Source organism: Homo sapiens, chromosome 22 (assembly GCF_000001405.40).
Source record: "Homo sapiens chromosome 22, GRCh38.p14 Primary Assembly".
NCBI classification, from domain to species: Eukaryota; Metazoa; Chordata; class Mammalia; order Primates; family Hominidae; genus Homo; species Homo sapiens.
The window spans coordinates 49,177,698-49,189,997 of record NC_000022.11 but is presented as its reverse complement, the minus strand read 5'-3'; the positions used below and the strand labels follow the sequence as shown (position 1 = coordinate 49,189,997).

General features: G+C 54.8%; 3 annotated features.

The window, feature by feature from the left end:
* Nucleotides 876–2,075: an enhancer, noted in NCBI's record as "P300/CBP strongly-dependent group 1 enhancer chr22:49583849-49585048 (GRCh37/hg19 assembly coordinates)". NCBI's record gives its function as "activates an origin of replication core promoter dependent on BRD2, BRD4, P300/CBP, MED14 and CDK7 cofactors, with strong dependence on P300/CBP, by STARR-seq in HCT116 cells {active_cell/tissue: HCT116}" and the evidence as "EXISTENCE:reporter gene assay evidence [ECO:0000049][PMID:35650434]".
* Nucleotides 5,509–6,279: an enhancer, noted in NCBI's record as "H3K4me1 hESC enhancer chr22:49579645-49580415 (GRCh37/hg19 assembly coordinates)". NCBI's record gives its function as "activates a minimal SCP1, AML or CMV promoter by ChIP-STARR-seq in naive H9 embryonic stem cells {active_cell/tissue: H9 hESC(naive)}" and the evidence as "EXISTENCE:reporter gene assay evidence [ECO:0000049][PMID:30033119]".
* Nucleotides 9,158–9,657: an enhancer, noted in NCBI's record as "H3K4me1 hESC enhancer chr22:49576267-49576766 (GRCh37/hg19 assembly coordinates)". NCBI's record gives its function as "activates a minimal SCP1, AML or CMV promoter by ChIP-STARR-seq in naive H9 embryonic stem cells {active_cell/tissue: H9 hESC(naive)}" and the evidence as "EXISTENCE:reporter gene assay evidence [ECO:0000049][PMID:30033119]".

Genomic DNA, 12,300 nt, shown 5'->3' with positions numbered 1-12,300 from the left:
CTGGCACTCACTGCTTCTGCTCTGCCTGCCTGCTTTAGACCCTTTCGCTGGACAGATAGGAAAATGTATTTTGTAAAAAGCTCAACTCCAAGATCTCCAACTTCAATCCAACCCACCACAGTCTTCCTTAACTTCTTCACTCCAGAGCAGCATTTACTCAAGGGCTTCCAAGACACAGACTGCTTCTCACTGAAAACTTCACTCTCCCCCAGCCCCTGCTGAGATGGGGCCTTATCTCTGCCCTCAGGGAGGCCTCTGTAGTTCACGGTATCTTGAAGATGAGGTGGGATCCTCTAACTTATGGTTGTCTGGAAATGTCACTTTATCCAAGCACAGGGATACCCTCGTTTTTATCCTTTTCATATCACTTTGACCATGTTTTGTTCGCAACTCCCTCCTGTAACACAGACCGCAGAGGCACCGGTGAGCTCCGATGGAGGGAGGGCACACAGAAATGACTTCGTAGAGGACAGGCCTTCTGGGGAATGTGTACCCTTGAGTCACACAGGCATCAGAGGCCCCACCTGGACGCCCCAAACCAAGCCTTAAACAAGCCTGTGAATGGGAGAGCTCCGCCATAGCACCAGGCCCGGCTCCCACTGCCTCCATCTGCTCTTCCCAGAGTCCAAGCTCGAGACCCAGTGGCTGGACAATCAGAAATCCATGGACTGATGAATGAGGGCAGCATCATTCTGTTTTGATTGATAACCAGATTGGAAGATTCTTCCAGGAGACACACCTGGTACTGCAACTGCATTCCCTCCGAATCCGTGCCATCCCAAGGATGACGTAACTTTGATGGTTTGAGGCGCCCACCTTTGTTCTTGTTAATGTGAGAACCAGGTAGTGACCTAATTTGAAGAATTTAATTGAGACTGTCTCTTTGCTTTCTGCCCAGCCCTGTAGGCCCTGACAGCTTCTTATGTTTTCCCCTCTCTGACTCCAGCACATTACGCTGTGCCGAGTCAACCTAGATGTCTTTGATTTCTGATAAATGCCACTGGGTAGAAGTTCTGATTTCTACTGAAGGACGCAACTCTTTATCTCCATGACTCACATCTGTCCTTGGTAAGTCCTGTCCACAGGCCACGGCAGCCCCGTCAGCATCCTTAGAACCTCGTCCCTTGATGGGTTCTGCAGGACGCATGGCTTTGCGTGGCTGGAAGGAGCCACTGAGTGTCTGAGGAGTGCATCCAGAGCAGCAGAAAACAGAGGGCTTGCTCCATCATCCACGTGCTGGCCATTCCCCATGATGTTCAGCCCTGAGCCAATATCCCACGGTTAAACAAAGGGCTGGGAGCTGGAGAATCTCACATGTGAGGCTGCATGGGAAGAACCCAGGTCTCCGGGCAGCTGTGGTTGCAGGTACCTGTCATGCAGGGAGAAGCTTCGGTCTGAGGTCAATGCACAGAATCTCAGAACTCAAAGAGGTATGATATGGTGTGGCTGTGTCCCCACCCAAATCTCATCTTGGGTTGTAGCTCCCATAATCCCCACGTGTTGTGGGAGTGGCCCGGTGGGAGGTGAGTGAATCATGGGAACGGGTTTGGAGGGACCCAGTGGGAGGTGAGTGAATCACGGGAACAGGTTTGGAGGGACTGAGTGGGAGGTGAGTGAATCACAGGAATGGGTTTGGAGGGACTGAGTGGGAGGTGAGTGAATCATGGGAACAGGTTTGGAGGGACGGAGTGGGAGGTGAGTGAATCACAGGAAGGGGTTTGGGGGGACCTGGAGGGAGGTGAGTGAATCACGGGAATCGGTTTGGAGGGACTGAGTGGGAGGTGAGTGAATCACTGGAATGGGTTTGGAGGGACTGAGTGGGAGGTGAGTGAACCACGGGAATGGGTTTGGAGGGACTGAGTGGGAGGTGAGTGAATCACGGGAATGGGTTTGGAGGGACTGAGTGGGAGGTGAGTGAATCACGGGAAGGGGTTTGGAGGGACCTGGAGGGACGTGAGTGAATCACGGGAAGGGGTTTGGAGGGACCTGGAAGGAGGTGAGTGAATCACGGGAAGGGGTTTGGAGGGACCTGGAGGGAGGTGAGTGAATCACAGGAACAGGTTTTCCCGTGCTGTTCTTGTGATAGTGGATAAGTCTCACGAGATCTGATGGTTTTATAAAGGGCAGTTCCCCTGCACGGCTCTCTTGCCTGCCACCATGTAAGACGTGCCTTTGCTCCTCCTTCGCCTTCTGCCATGATTGTGAGGCCCCCCCAGACATGTGGAACTGTGAGTCCATGAAACCTCTTTCCTTCATAAATTACTCGGTCTCAGGTATGTCTTTATTAGTGGCATGAGAACAGACTAATACAGGGTGTATCATCATTTTTAATTTGCTCTCCACTTGATTATAATAGACAAATAAAAAATGTATATTTAAGGTATACAATGTGATTTTTGGTATATGCACACATTGTGTAGTGACTGCCACCACCAGGCTGAGTCACACTCTCATCACCTCCAGAGCTTTCTTTCACAGCTGTGTGGGGGATTCCGGGGATCTATGCTTGGCACATTTCAAGTGTCCAATACATTATTATCAGCTACGGCCACCCTGCTGTCCCTTAGAACCCCATATTGTGTTCATGCTGAATAACCAAAATGTTGCACCCTTCAAACCATATTTCCCTTTTTCCCACCTCCAGCCCCTGGGAACAGCCATTCTCTTCTCTGCTTCTAGGAACCTGACTTTTATTAATTCCACAATAAGTGAAATCATGCAACATTTTTCTTTCTGTGTCTGGCTTATTTTGCTTTATCTTAACATCCTCCAGATTATTCATGTTCTCACAAATGCCAGGGTTTCCTTCTGTTTTAAGACTGAATAGTATTCCCGTGCATGTGTACACGCATGTATGTCCACACACCCACTCTGTACAGAGTTGCAGTCGCAGTAGCAGCACTGATAGTCACAGCTGCAGTGACAGCGTCTGCTTTAGGCTGGCCAGGTGGCATCTGACAGTGGCAGCCGTGATCATGATGATTACACTGCAGCGGTGATGCCATTCATAGCAGTCATCGTGATCATCACATGATGGCCAGAGTGAGCGTGACGGCTGCCCTTTCCAAACCCTCCCGCGTGGCTGGTGTCATCCTCACTGACTGCACATGAGGACACACAGAAGTCCTGTGACTGGCCTGGGGCCATGTCGGAGGGTGTGGCTGGGGTCATGGCTGAGGCTGGAGGAGCTGCCGTGTGTGAGAGGCCAAGCCAGAACCAGCCTCCCAGTTACCCTGGGCTCTTCCCTCCTCCACCCACAGCCAGGGATGGCTGACTCCACTGCTCAGCCCTGAGGCTTCCAAGAACCTGTCCTTTGCACCCCATGTCATGAGAGTCACCTTCCAACCACCTGAGCTCCACTGACAACCCATACCAGACAGTGCTGGCCACAGGGCCCATGTATTCAGTCAAACATTACTTTGGATATTTCTGTGAAGGCTTGTTGTATATGGTTAACTCTTAAATCCATGGACTGGGTAAAGCAGATGACCTCCTTAATGTGGGTGGGCCTTGCCCAATCAGTTGAAGGATTTCAGAGGAAAAGACAGACCTCCCTGAGAAAGAAGGAATTCTGCCAGCAAGGCCTTGGGACCCCAACTGTGTGTCTCCCTGGGTTTCCATGTGAACAAATCTCTCTCCCCCACACATGTGAGTGCACATGCGCACACACACAAATGCACACACACAAATGCACACACACACAACCTTGCACACATGTTGTTGATTCTGCTTCTCTGGGGAACCCTCAATAACACACAATCTCACCTCTGTGAGAAGAAGGCTCCCAGGGAATGTCACAGAAACACTGGGTCATGGTCATAAAAATTCAACTCCTTAAGTCAAAGAAGGGAACCCAGGACCAGTGGACATGTTTCCAAACAAGGCTCAAAGATGGTTACTTTCTACTCAGCCCTGAGTGACCCAGGCTCTTCCTCACCCTCGACAACTGTTAGAATACCATGGAAGCCTCCCCTGCTAAAGAGGTGTAGACACACAAAGCACAGCACAGAGACACTCACAAACCACCTGGCCAGGGCAGAGGCTGGACTAGGACCACCATGTGATCCCTCAACCCTGGCCCAACCTTGTATCCTCCAGCCTTGGGGAATCAGCTGCTCCCAGCTCATGACTTTGTGTGTGGCCACACTTTGCTCACTGCAGAATCCCGGACCTGCCTTTGCCTCTGGGAGAGCTCTGCTGTCTGCTTCAGAGAGTCCAAGGGTCCTCCAGGACTTGTTTACTATGTGTCTCACAGTGCTCAGCAATGCTGTTCATTGTTTTCCTGACCACTCCCCACACTGAACTAAGAGTCCCTGGAGCCCAGCAAGCACGGCTACACAGAGAAGCTTAGAGAAGAGAAGGATGGATGGGTGGGTGGAGAGTGAAAGGATGAATGGATGGATAAATGGTAGATAGATGAATAGATGGAATGGTGGATGGTGGATGGATGGAAGGCTGAGTGGACTGATGATGAGTGGATGGATGGGTGAGTGAGTAAAATGATGGATTAATAGGTAGATGAATGGATGGATGGATAGATGAATGGTAGATAGATGGATGGATGGATGGATGGATGGATGGTGAATGGGTGGATGGGTGGATCGTGGATAGATTAATGGTGGGTGGACGAATGGTGGAAAGGTGGATGGGAAATAAATGGATGGATGGATGAATGGATGGGTTGATGGGTGCCTCCCAGAGGCACCATCTGTGGATACAAACACACTGGGGTTCGGCTTCAACAAGTGAATTTGGGGAGACAGAATTCAGTCCATAGCATTCAAAGAGGCTTTGTTCAGTGCAGAAGCCGTCCGAGTTTTCTGGTGACAAGGAAGTCCTAGAGCCTAGAGGCTGCTCCCCTCCCTCTGCTCCTCTGGGAAGAACCCACCTTAATCAGAGCTGTCTCTGGGTGTCCTGCCTCTCCGTTTGAGGAAAAGCTGGGATTCCCCTGGGTGTTCTAACGAAGAATGCAACGAAAGCACTGTGCGCTGTGAGCAGAGAAATGAGGTGACTAGGGGCAAACACGTCCACGGTGGGACGTGTCTGATGCGACTCGCTGGGGACGCGCCTCTCCCTGGGGACAGAGGTTGGAGGCTGTTAGCGGAGGACGGTGCTTCCAAGAGGGCTTCCTCATCCTGAAACCGGCCCTCTACCTCTGCACAGCGGCTCTGTGGGGATTTATAAATCCAGCTTTGAGTCTTCACTTGGAGTGAATCTGAGAACTGTTAGCATCTCTGATTTTGTTGCTTGATGCCAGGAACTAACGCTGACCTGAGCAACCCTTTGTTCAAAGAGATCCTTTGGGGCATTGGCTCCAAGAGGCATTTCTCTGCCTGCAGCTTCTCTTCTTTTAATCTGTTCTCTGCTGTAGAAGACAAAGCAAGGGAGAGCTGCTTTGCTAACGCTGGAGTTGGCAGTGGAACAGCTGGGCAAGAGCTGGGTCTCGGATGCCTCTGGCACGTCCATGGTGGTCAACCTGGCCAGCTGTGGCTCGGCCCCATCAAGTGGGGTGTGGGTGCCACATTGTTGGCATTCAAGATGGGACCCATGCCTCTCACTGCAGACACTTGCGGATGTGCACAAGGAACAGGCGCCGGAATGCTCCTGTGTCTCCCTGAGCACCTCACCACGGAGAATCCTACCCAGGCTCTGACGGCTCCACACTAGGGCTCCACGAGGTGTCCCTCAAATTACTGGCTGAGCAATGCCCCCAAAAGCAAGACTGCAAAGGGATAAGGAGGAAAAGCGAAGTGAGAAATGAAGTGAGGGGGCAGAAAACCCAAATAAGGGAAGCAGACATGATGGCCCGGCAGGGACCACGGCCCCCTGGGGTGCACGAGATAAATGACTTGGTGCAAACAAACAGGATGGTGCGTCATCCCCACAGCACGCCTCCCACGCGGCAGCGTCCACCCCTGTCCTCTCGCAATTCCAGTTCCTTCTGCGGCAGGCGCCGGAGGATGCTTCTGGCTGCCTGGATGCACCATGGCTCTCCCGCTCCATAGGGTAACGCCCAGCCGGTTAACTCATCACAAAGCCTCTGCCCACTTCCTGCCTTACCACCCTCGCCTCGTACCACGCATACAGCGTGGAGTCGCGCCGCCGTGGAGCAAGCGGAACTGTGACACTCGGCTTTCACAGGGCCAAGGTGTCCTCAGCCCCGTCCTGCCCCCGGAGTCCTCAGACCAGTGGGCTCCTCTGCACCCCTCAAGGCCCCTTCCCACCCGCCTGCCCCCAAAAGTCCTCTGCACCTCCCCCATGGGGCCCCCCTGTACTTGCTGCTGTGTTTCCCAGCCCTGTGCACAAATCAGCCCCGAGCTTTCCATGGGAGGGGCGGCCCCCAGGGCCAACGGGAGCTCCAGGACGTCCCTGATGGCTGACGCTCTCCTCTGGGTCACTGAGGTGACAAATGCTGGCCTGGGGGTTGGGAGAGCAGAGCCATTGTCCTGCTTTGCTGCTGGGCTGCTCTGAGCACTGAGTGTGTCCCTTCCCCTCCTAGACTTCGGCGTCCACGTGGGTCAGACAAGGTTGGGCCAAGGCCCCTTCACTGCCCTGTAGGATGCTGCTGGGTCTACAGCTGCCACTTGCACGCCTGCCGTCCTCCGGGGCCTCCTCCGCTTTCTGTGTGTGTCGTGCGGTGGGTGGGACCCCAGTGACGCCGCGGGCCAGTCCCCATTTGTGGCCTGTCAGCTGGCAGATGGAGCAGTGCTGAGAAAAATGGCTCCATTACCCAAAACAATCACCGTCTTCTCCTTTATACTTGACGGGAGACCCTCCTGGCACGACTTCTCTATCCACCCTGCTCACTCCTTGCAATAATCCGCTGGGTGGGAGTCGTCGCCTACGCTTTGCGGATAGGAAAGCAAAAGCCAAACGAACTAGAGCTCTTGCCGGGGTCTTCGCTTGGCCCCTGGGAACCCCTTATGGCCACTGCCCTCCTTTGAGGAATCTTTCCCCAACTGCCATAACCAGCGTCCTCTGCTTCCTCCGCCTCCCACCCCTCAGTTTGTTCTGTGCCTCTGCAGTCCTTGCTGTCGAAAATTCTTTGAAACACAGATGTGCCGACATGGCTCTTACGGCCTCTGCTCAGAGGCACGCCCCTTGGTGTCAGGAGACCCGGCTGTGTCCTTCTTGAGGGCTGCCCAGCTCCTCAGCCCTTGCCGGCCCTAAGAGGGCACTTAGTTGCTGTTTGTTGAATGAATAAGTGAGGGATATATGGATGAGCGTCCCGCAGCTGTGAGGGTGGGGCCTGGACTTGCACATGGAGAACCCTCTCGGTCGCCTGCCCTGTCCCCAGGGCGACGTGGTTAGCAAGGGGGAGCACGTGGCGCCGAGGGGCTCTCAATTGCGAGCTCAAGCTCAGGGTGGGTGCTGTGCGGAGAGTTCACAGGTGAGTCAGAGGCAGTCAGACGGGAACGTGAAGGAAGACGGTTCAGGGGCTCCTTCCACATCCAGGGGATCAAAGCCAGTGGCAGGGCCGGTAGGAGCGCCGAGCGTGGGCCTTGGCATCCTCACCCCTGTTCTCTGCTGCACTCCTGGCTCTGCCTCACAGGGATGTGGGAGGAGGTTGGCGCAGATGACGGGGGAAAACAGAATTAGGCTTGCTTTGCCCCAGACTGCTCTGGATTCGAATCCATCCGGTAACGATGTTGCCCCTGTGTGATCCTCAGGGTTTGGCCGAGGCGTCTTCCTGGGCCTCATCCCTGGCAGATGCATGGCCTGCGTGGGGCTTGTGAGTTCGCCCGGATGAGGGTGGAGCTGCATGGGTGATTCCAAGGTATTGACAACTTGTGAAGTCCTAACCCCAGGGCAGAAATGGCATTCACCTCGTCTGTGTCCTGCTGACCCTGATGAAAGCCACTGCCAAGTCATTGATCGCTGTTGACCAGTTCCTGGGCCCGTGCGCCGGCTGCTGGAGCTACGGAGAAGATTCCCCAATGATGAAGAAGCCATCGGCAGAGGGGCCATGGCTTCCTGCCCACATTAAGTAGTGTGGGAAGTCCAAGCCGCCCGGACATCCTGTGTGCACAGGGTCCTGTTGGAGTTGTAATCGCACATGCTTACCCCTGGGCCTGCATGCTAGTGGGGAAGAGCTGCCGGGAGTCCAGCTTCCCAGACCAGTCCTGTGGGCAACGGTCCCTCCTGATCCCTGAGCCTGCGTCTCAGGTGGTGCTTCTGCCTCGGCCTTCATTCATGCAGTCCAGAAATGGCCAGAAAGCCTGGGGTGCCAGAGCTGACAAGACAGGAACGCCACCCTCAGGGAGCTGTGTGGCAGCGGGATGGGGCCAGCCACGAAAAAGCTAGCACAGCAGCTGCAGCGTGGACGAGGGAGTGGCGAGGCCTGGTCAGCAATGGGCAGTGTCCTGTGTCCACTCGCTGGGCCGTGGGACCCAGATTCCTGGTTCAACACCAGTGCAGAGGCCGCAGTGAGGGTGTTTCTTGGACAAACATTTAAATCAGCCGACTTTGAGTGGAGCAGTTCAGTCCCCATGACATGGGTGAGCTGCCACCAATCCGTTGAGGTGCTTAAGACAAAAGGCTGGGGTGCCCCCGGAGGAGGGAACACTGGTTCCGGGTGGCCTCAGACTTGGGCAGCAGCATCAACCCTTTATCCATCCTGCCAGCTTGGCCTGCAGGCTGTGGACTTGCCAGTACCCCCTGTCACATGAGTCAATTTCTTAAAATCTCTCTTTCTCTCCATATATGGATATACGCAGAGAGGGAGACAGCCCCTTGCTCCCGGAAATTATCATATATATATGTATAAGATGTACTAATAGGCTTTATATCTATATGTAAATACATATATCTATGTACATATGTATACATTTACATATATCCATACATATATGCATACATTCACATATATGCATACATTTACATACATGTATACATTTACAGACATGTAGCATTTACATATATATGTAAAGCCTATTTGTACATCTTACACATATATATGTATAATTGTATACCTGTGCATGGGTGTGTGTGTACATGTGTGAGTGTGTGTGTGTGTAAAGCCTATTTGTACATTGTATACATATATGTATATTTGTATATCGGTGTGTGCATGTGTGTGTACACGTGTGAGTATGTGTGTGTGTGTATCTGACTGTCTGGAGAACCCTGATAAACACAAGGACTTTGGACAAAAGTAAATAAATCAGGGAAGTGGTGTGTGGGGTCAGGAGGGAGGTTAAACCCGGTGAGGGCAGAGAACCAACAACTACATTTGCAGCACAGACATCACTGAAGGCCTTGGCGAGCCCCGTTTCCATAGAGAGATGCCGGCCGGGCAGTGTGAGTCAGGAGAAGGTGGAGACGGGAAAAGGCTACCGACTACAGGCCCCTTTCTGGGCATTTTAACGTGGTGGGGAAACAGGAGCAGGGAGGTGGGTTGAGACGGAAGTGGGATCCACAGGGGCTGGAGGACCTGGGACAGTCCAGGGGTTTTGTGAGCAGTGGGCGGGCAGAGGCGGCTTCGCCCAGCCGGAGGTCCAGGAGGTGACTGGAAGGAGCTCAGCCACTGTGCCTGTTTGATGGACGCATGTCTGAGGAGAGGCCATTCTTGGAGCTGGAAGAACTGGGGGTCCTGTGTGCTGTGGCTGGGCCATCCCCCTACTCGGGTCAACCCCAGCTAGGCTCCAGGTAATCCCACATGTGCAGAGGGAGCCTGGGGTTTTGGGATGTGCTGAGCACTCCCCTAGGTCTTGCTGCAGGCACGACCCCGTGGCCCCATGCATAGGACCTTTAGGGTGGTGAGCCGTGGGGGGAGCCCAGGACCACACTCAGGTCTTCCTGCCACTGCACGTCACTGGCTGTCTCACACACCTCCTGTGTGCAGCTGGCACCAGCTCCTGATGGCTCACCCAGCCTCCCATTCCAGAGGTGGATCTGCTTCTTGGCTGGGGCAGGCATTGGCAGAAAGCTGGTATGAGGAAGAAGACAGCTCCCTCAAAACCAGCAGGGGGTACGGGGGGACGGCGGCCTCCACTACACTCAGGGGCTGGTCATGGGTCAGGAGGACAACTCTGCAGCCCAGGGGCAACACAGGCGGGGCCAGGGCACCCCCAGGGACACAGCTGGGACGGAAATTCCTCTTAGAGGGTCCACAGCATCTCCAATTGCATCTCCATGACTCAGGGACTCAGGCTCGATATCAGGAATGAGGACCACAGTGGGGTGACCCCGTGAGCAGACCTCTCAGGGTTAGGACAGGCACTGCCTGTGCCCTCCAGGAAACGTGGGGCAGGGCTGGAGCCTGGGCGGCTTTGCTGGAACCACAGAGGCTCCCAGGCAGTGTATCTCTGCCCTGCCCCGAGGCTGGACGTGGTCCAGGACACAGTTCCCATCCCTGAGCCCCAAAAAATGCTTCGACCAGCAGCAAAGACCACAAAGAGGATCACAGGATGCTTCCCTCGTTCATAACAGGGTCAAGGACAGGAGTCCCAGAGACAGGAGGCCACACAGTGCAGCTGATGAGGGCCCGACCTCCGGGGGGACAGAATTGCCAGGGATGGTGGCTTCCCGGAGAGAGTGGGAAGCCGGGCTGTGCAGGGCTCACCTCCACAAATTCTGAAGCCACAGGCAGGGAGCCAGGGTGGGTAGCGCCTGCCGTGGCCACGGGGCCGCCGAGGGCCTGGCGGGAGGAGTTAATAGATCGCGGTGGCGCTGACGCAGCCGAGCTAATGGATGGAAACACTTGGACCGTGGGCATTAAACAAACTCGTAAAACCCCCAAAACAAAAGCTGTGCTGAGCTTCCAAAGTGACTCGAACAAATAGCAAATACAAGTCTAAAAATATTGGAAAGCTTTTAAGGTGATTGCCCCAGAGGCCCCATCCGGCCGCTCCAGCCCTCTATAAAGACATTACGCCTTTTTTCTGACATCATGGTTTTCATAAGAAAACATTTGGCAACATTTCCCGCCACGGAGCTTATCATTTTAGGTCACTTTTGGAACGGAAGGTTGATTTTTAGATAATTTACGAAACAGCTGAGGGATGAGGCGTCCTTTTCATAATGTGGCCACATCCAGCACCTGCAGAGGGGCGCCCCGCTTGGCAGTGACCGCTCAGGTCCTGTCTTCTCATTAGCCCTTAGCAGGCAGCCACCCCCTCGCCCACACTGCACAGAGGCAGGAGACCAGGCGTTCTAGGCAGGTGCGCTGTGGCTGCTCCCACCATGAGCCGTTCCGACGCTGTCCCTGTGTGGCCTCACCACGCGGCCTGCTCCATCCCCTGTGGGGAGTCCAGCAGGAGCTGCTCGATGACTAGGGAGCCAGCCAGTGTCTCGGGCCCACAGAGGATTCAGGGGCCAGTCTGCCAAAGGAGCTTGGAGGATGTTAGCCAGGGTGAGTTCTCAGAAGCCCTGGGCCCAGCGGGGAGCTGGGTCCCCCTGACCCCTGAGCAGATATCGGTCAGCTATGGGAAAACTCAGCAGGACTGAGGAGTTAACTCTGAGGATTAGTCCCCAGGGGCCCTCCTGAGGCTGGGTTCCAGAGAGCCGGACTCTTTCTGGGCTTGACAGGTGAGTGTCCACCGTCCTGAGGGCCGGTCCTCATCCGTGAGTCCTGGAGGCCAGGTAGTGCAGGATGAAGGCTGTCTGTGTCCCTGGCTGAGCGGGTGGGGCCCCCCCAGCTCCCCCATGTCGGTTCTGTGGATGCTGACCAGCTTCTCCAGTGGTCAGGTTGAGATGGACGTCGTCCATGCCGTGATGTCCAGGGCTTGGGATCATCCCAGAGAAGTCGGTGCATGAAGGAAGGGGCTGTTGCTCTCCGAGGGCTCCTGATTCAACGGTGCAGAGACTGAGCTCGGATAAGCATCTCATGGAGGCTACAGCACCCCAGCAGGCTGTGGAGAGTCCACATGGGGCTGAGAGGGGAGAACTCAGCCATGGGCACCATGGGCAAGAGCCTCTGCACCCATCTGGGCCTGGATGGAGCTCACACTGGCCTCACTGTGGGGTCCTGGCTTTGTCGGCTTCCTGACACACAGGCCACGGACTCCACGTGATGTCACACAGCATCAGCATAGGGCTGGGATTCTGAGTGATGTCCCATAGTATCTGCACGGGGCTGGGATTCTGAGTTGGTTGATGTTTGCCGGTTCCTTGGCATCCCCAGGGAACTCGACACCTCAGAATCAGGGAGGGCCAGGCCGTCCCGGCCATTCAGCCTGTGCACCAGGCATGGTGGGTGTAGGTGCGTTTTCTCCCACCCCGTCCAGCTCTAGTGGCTTCCAGTTCTCCAGGGCAGCCTCAATTCACGACCTTGGGGAGCTTCACTCCTCTCTGACGGTG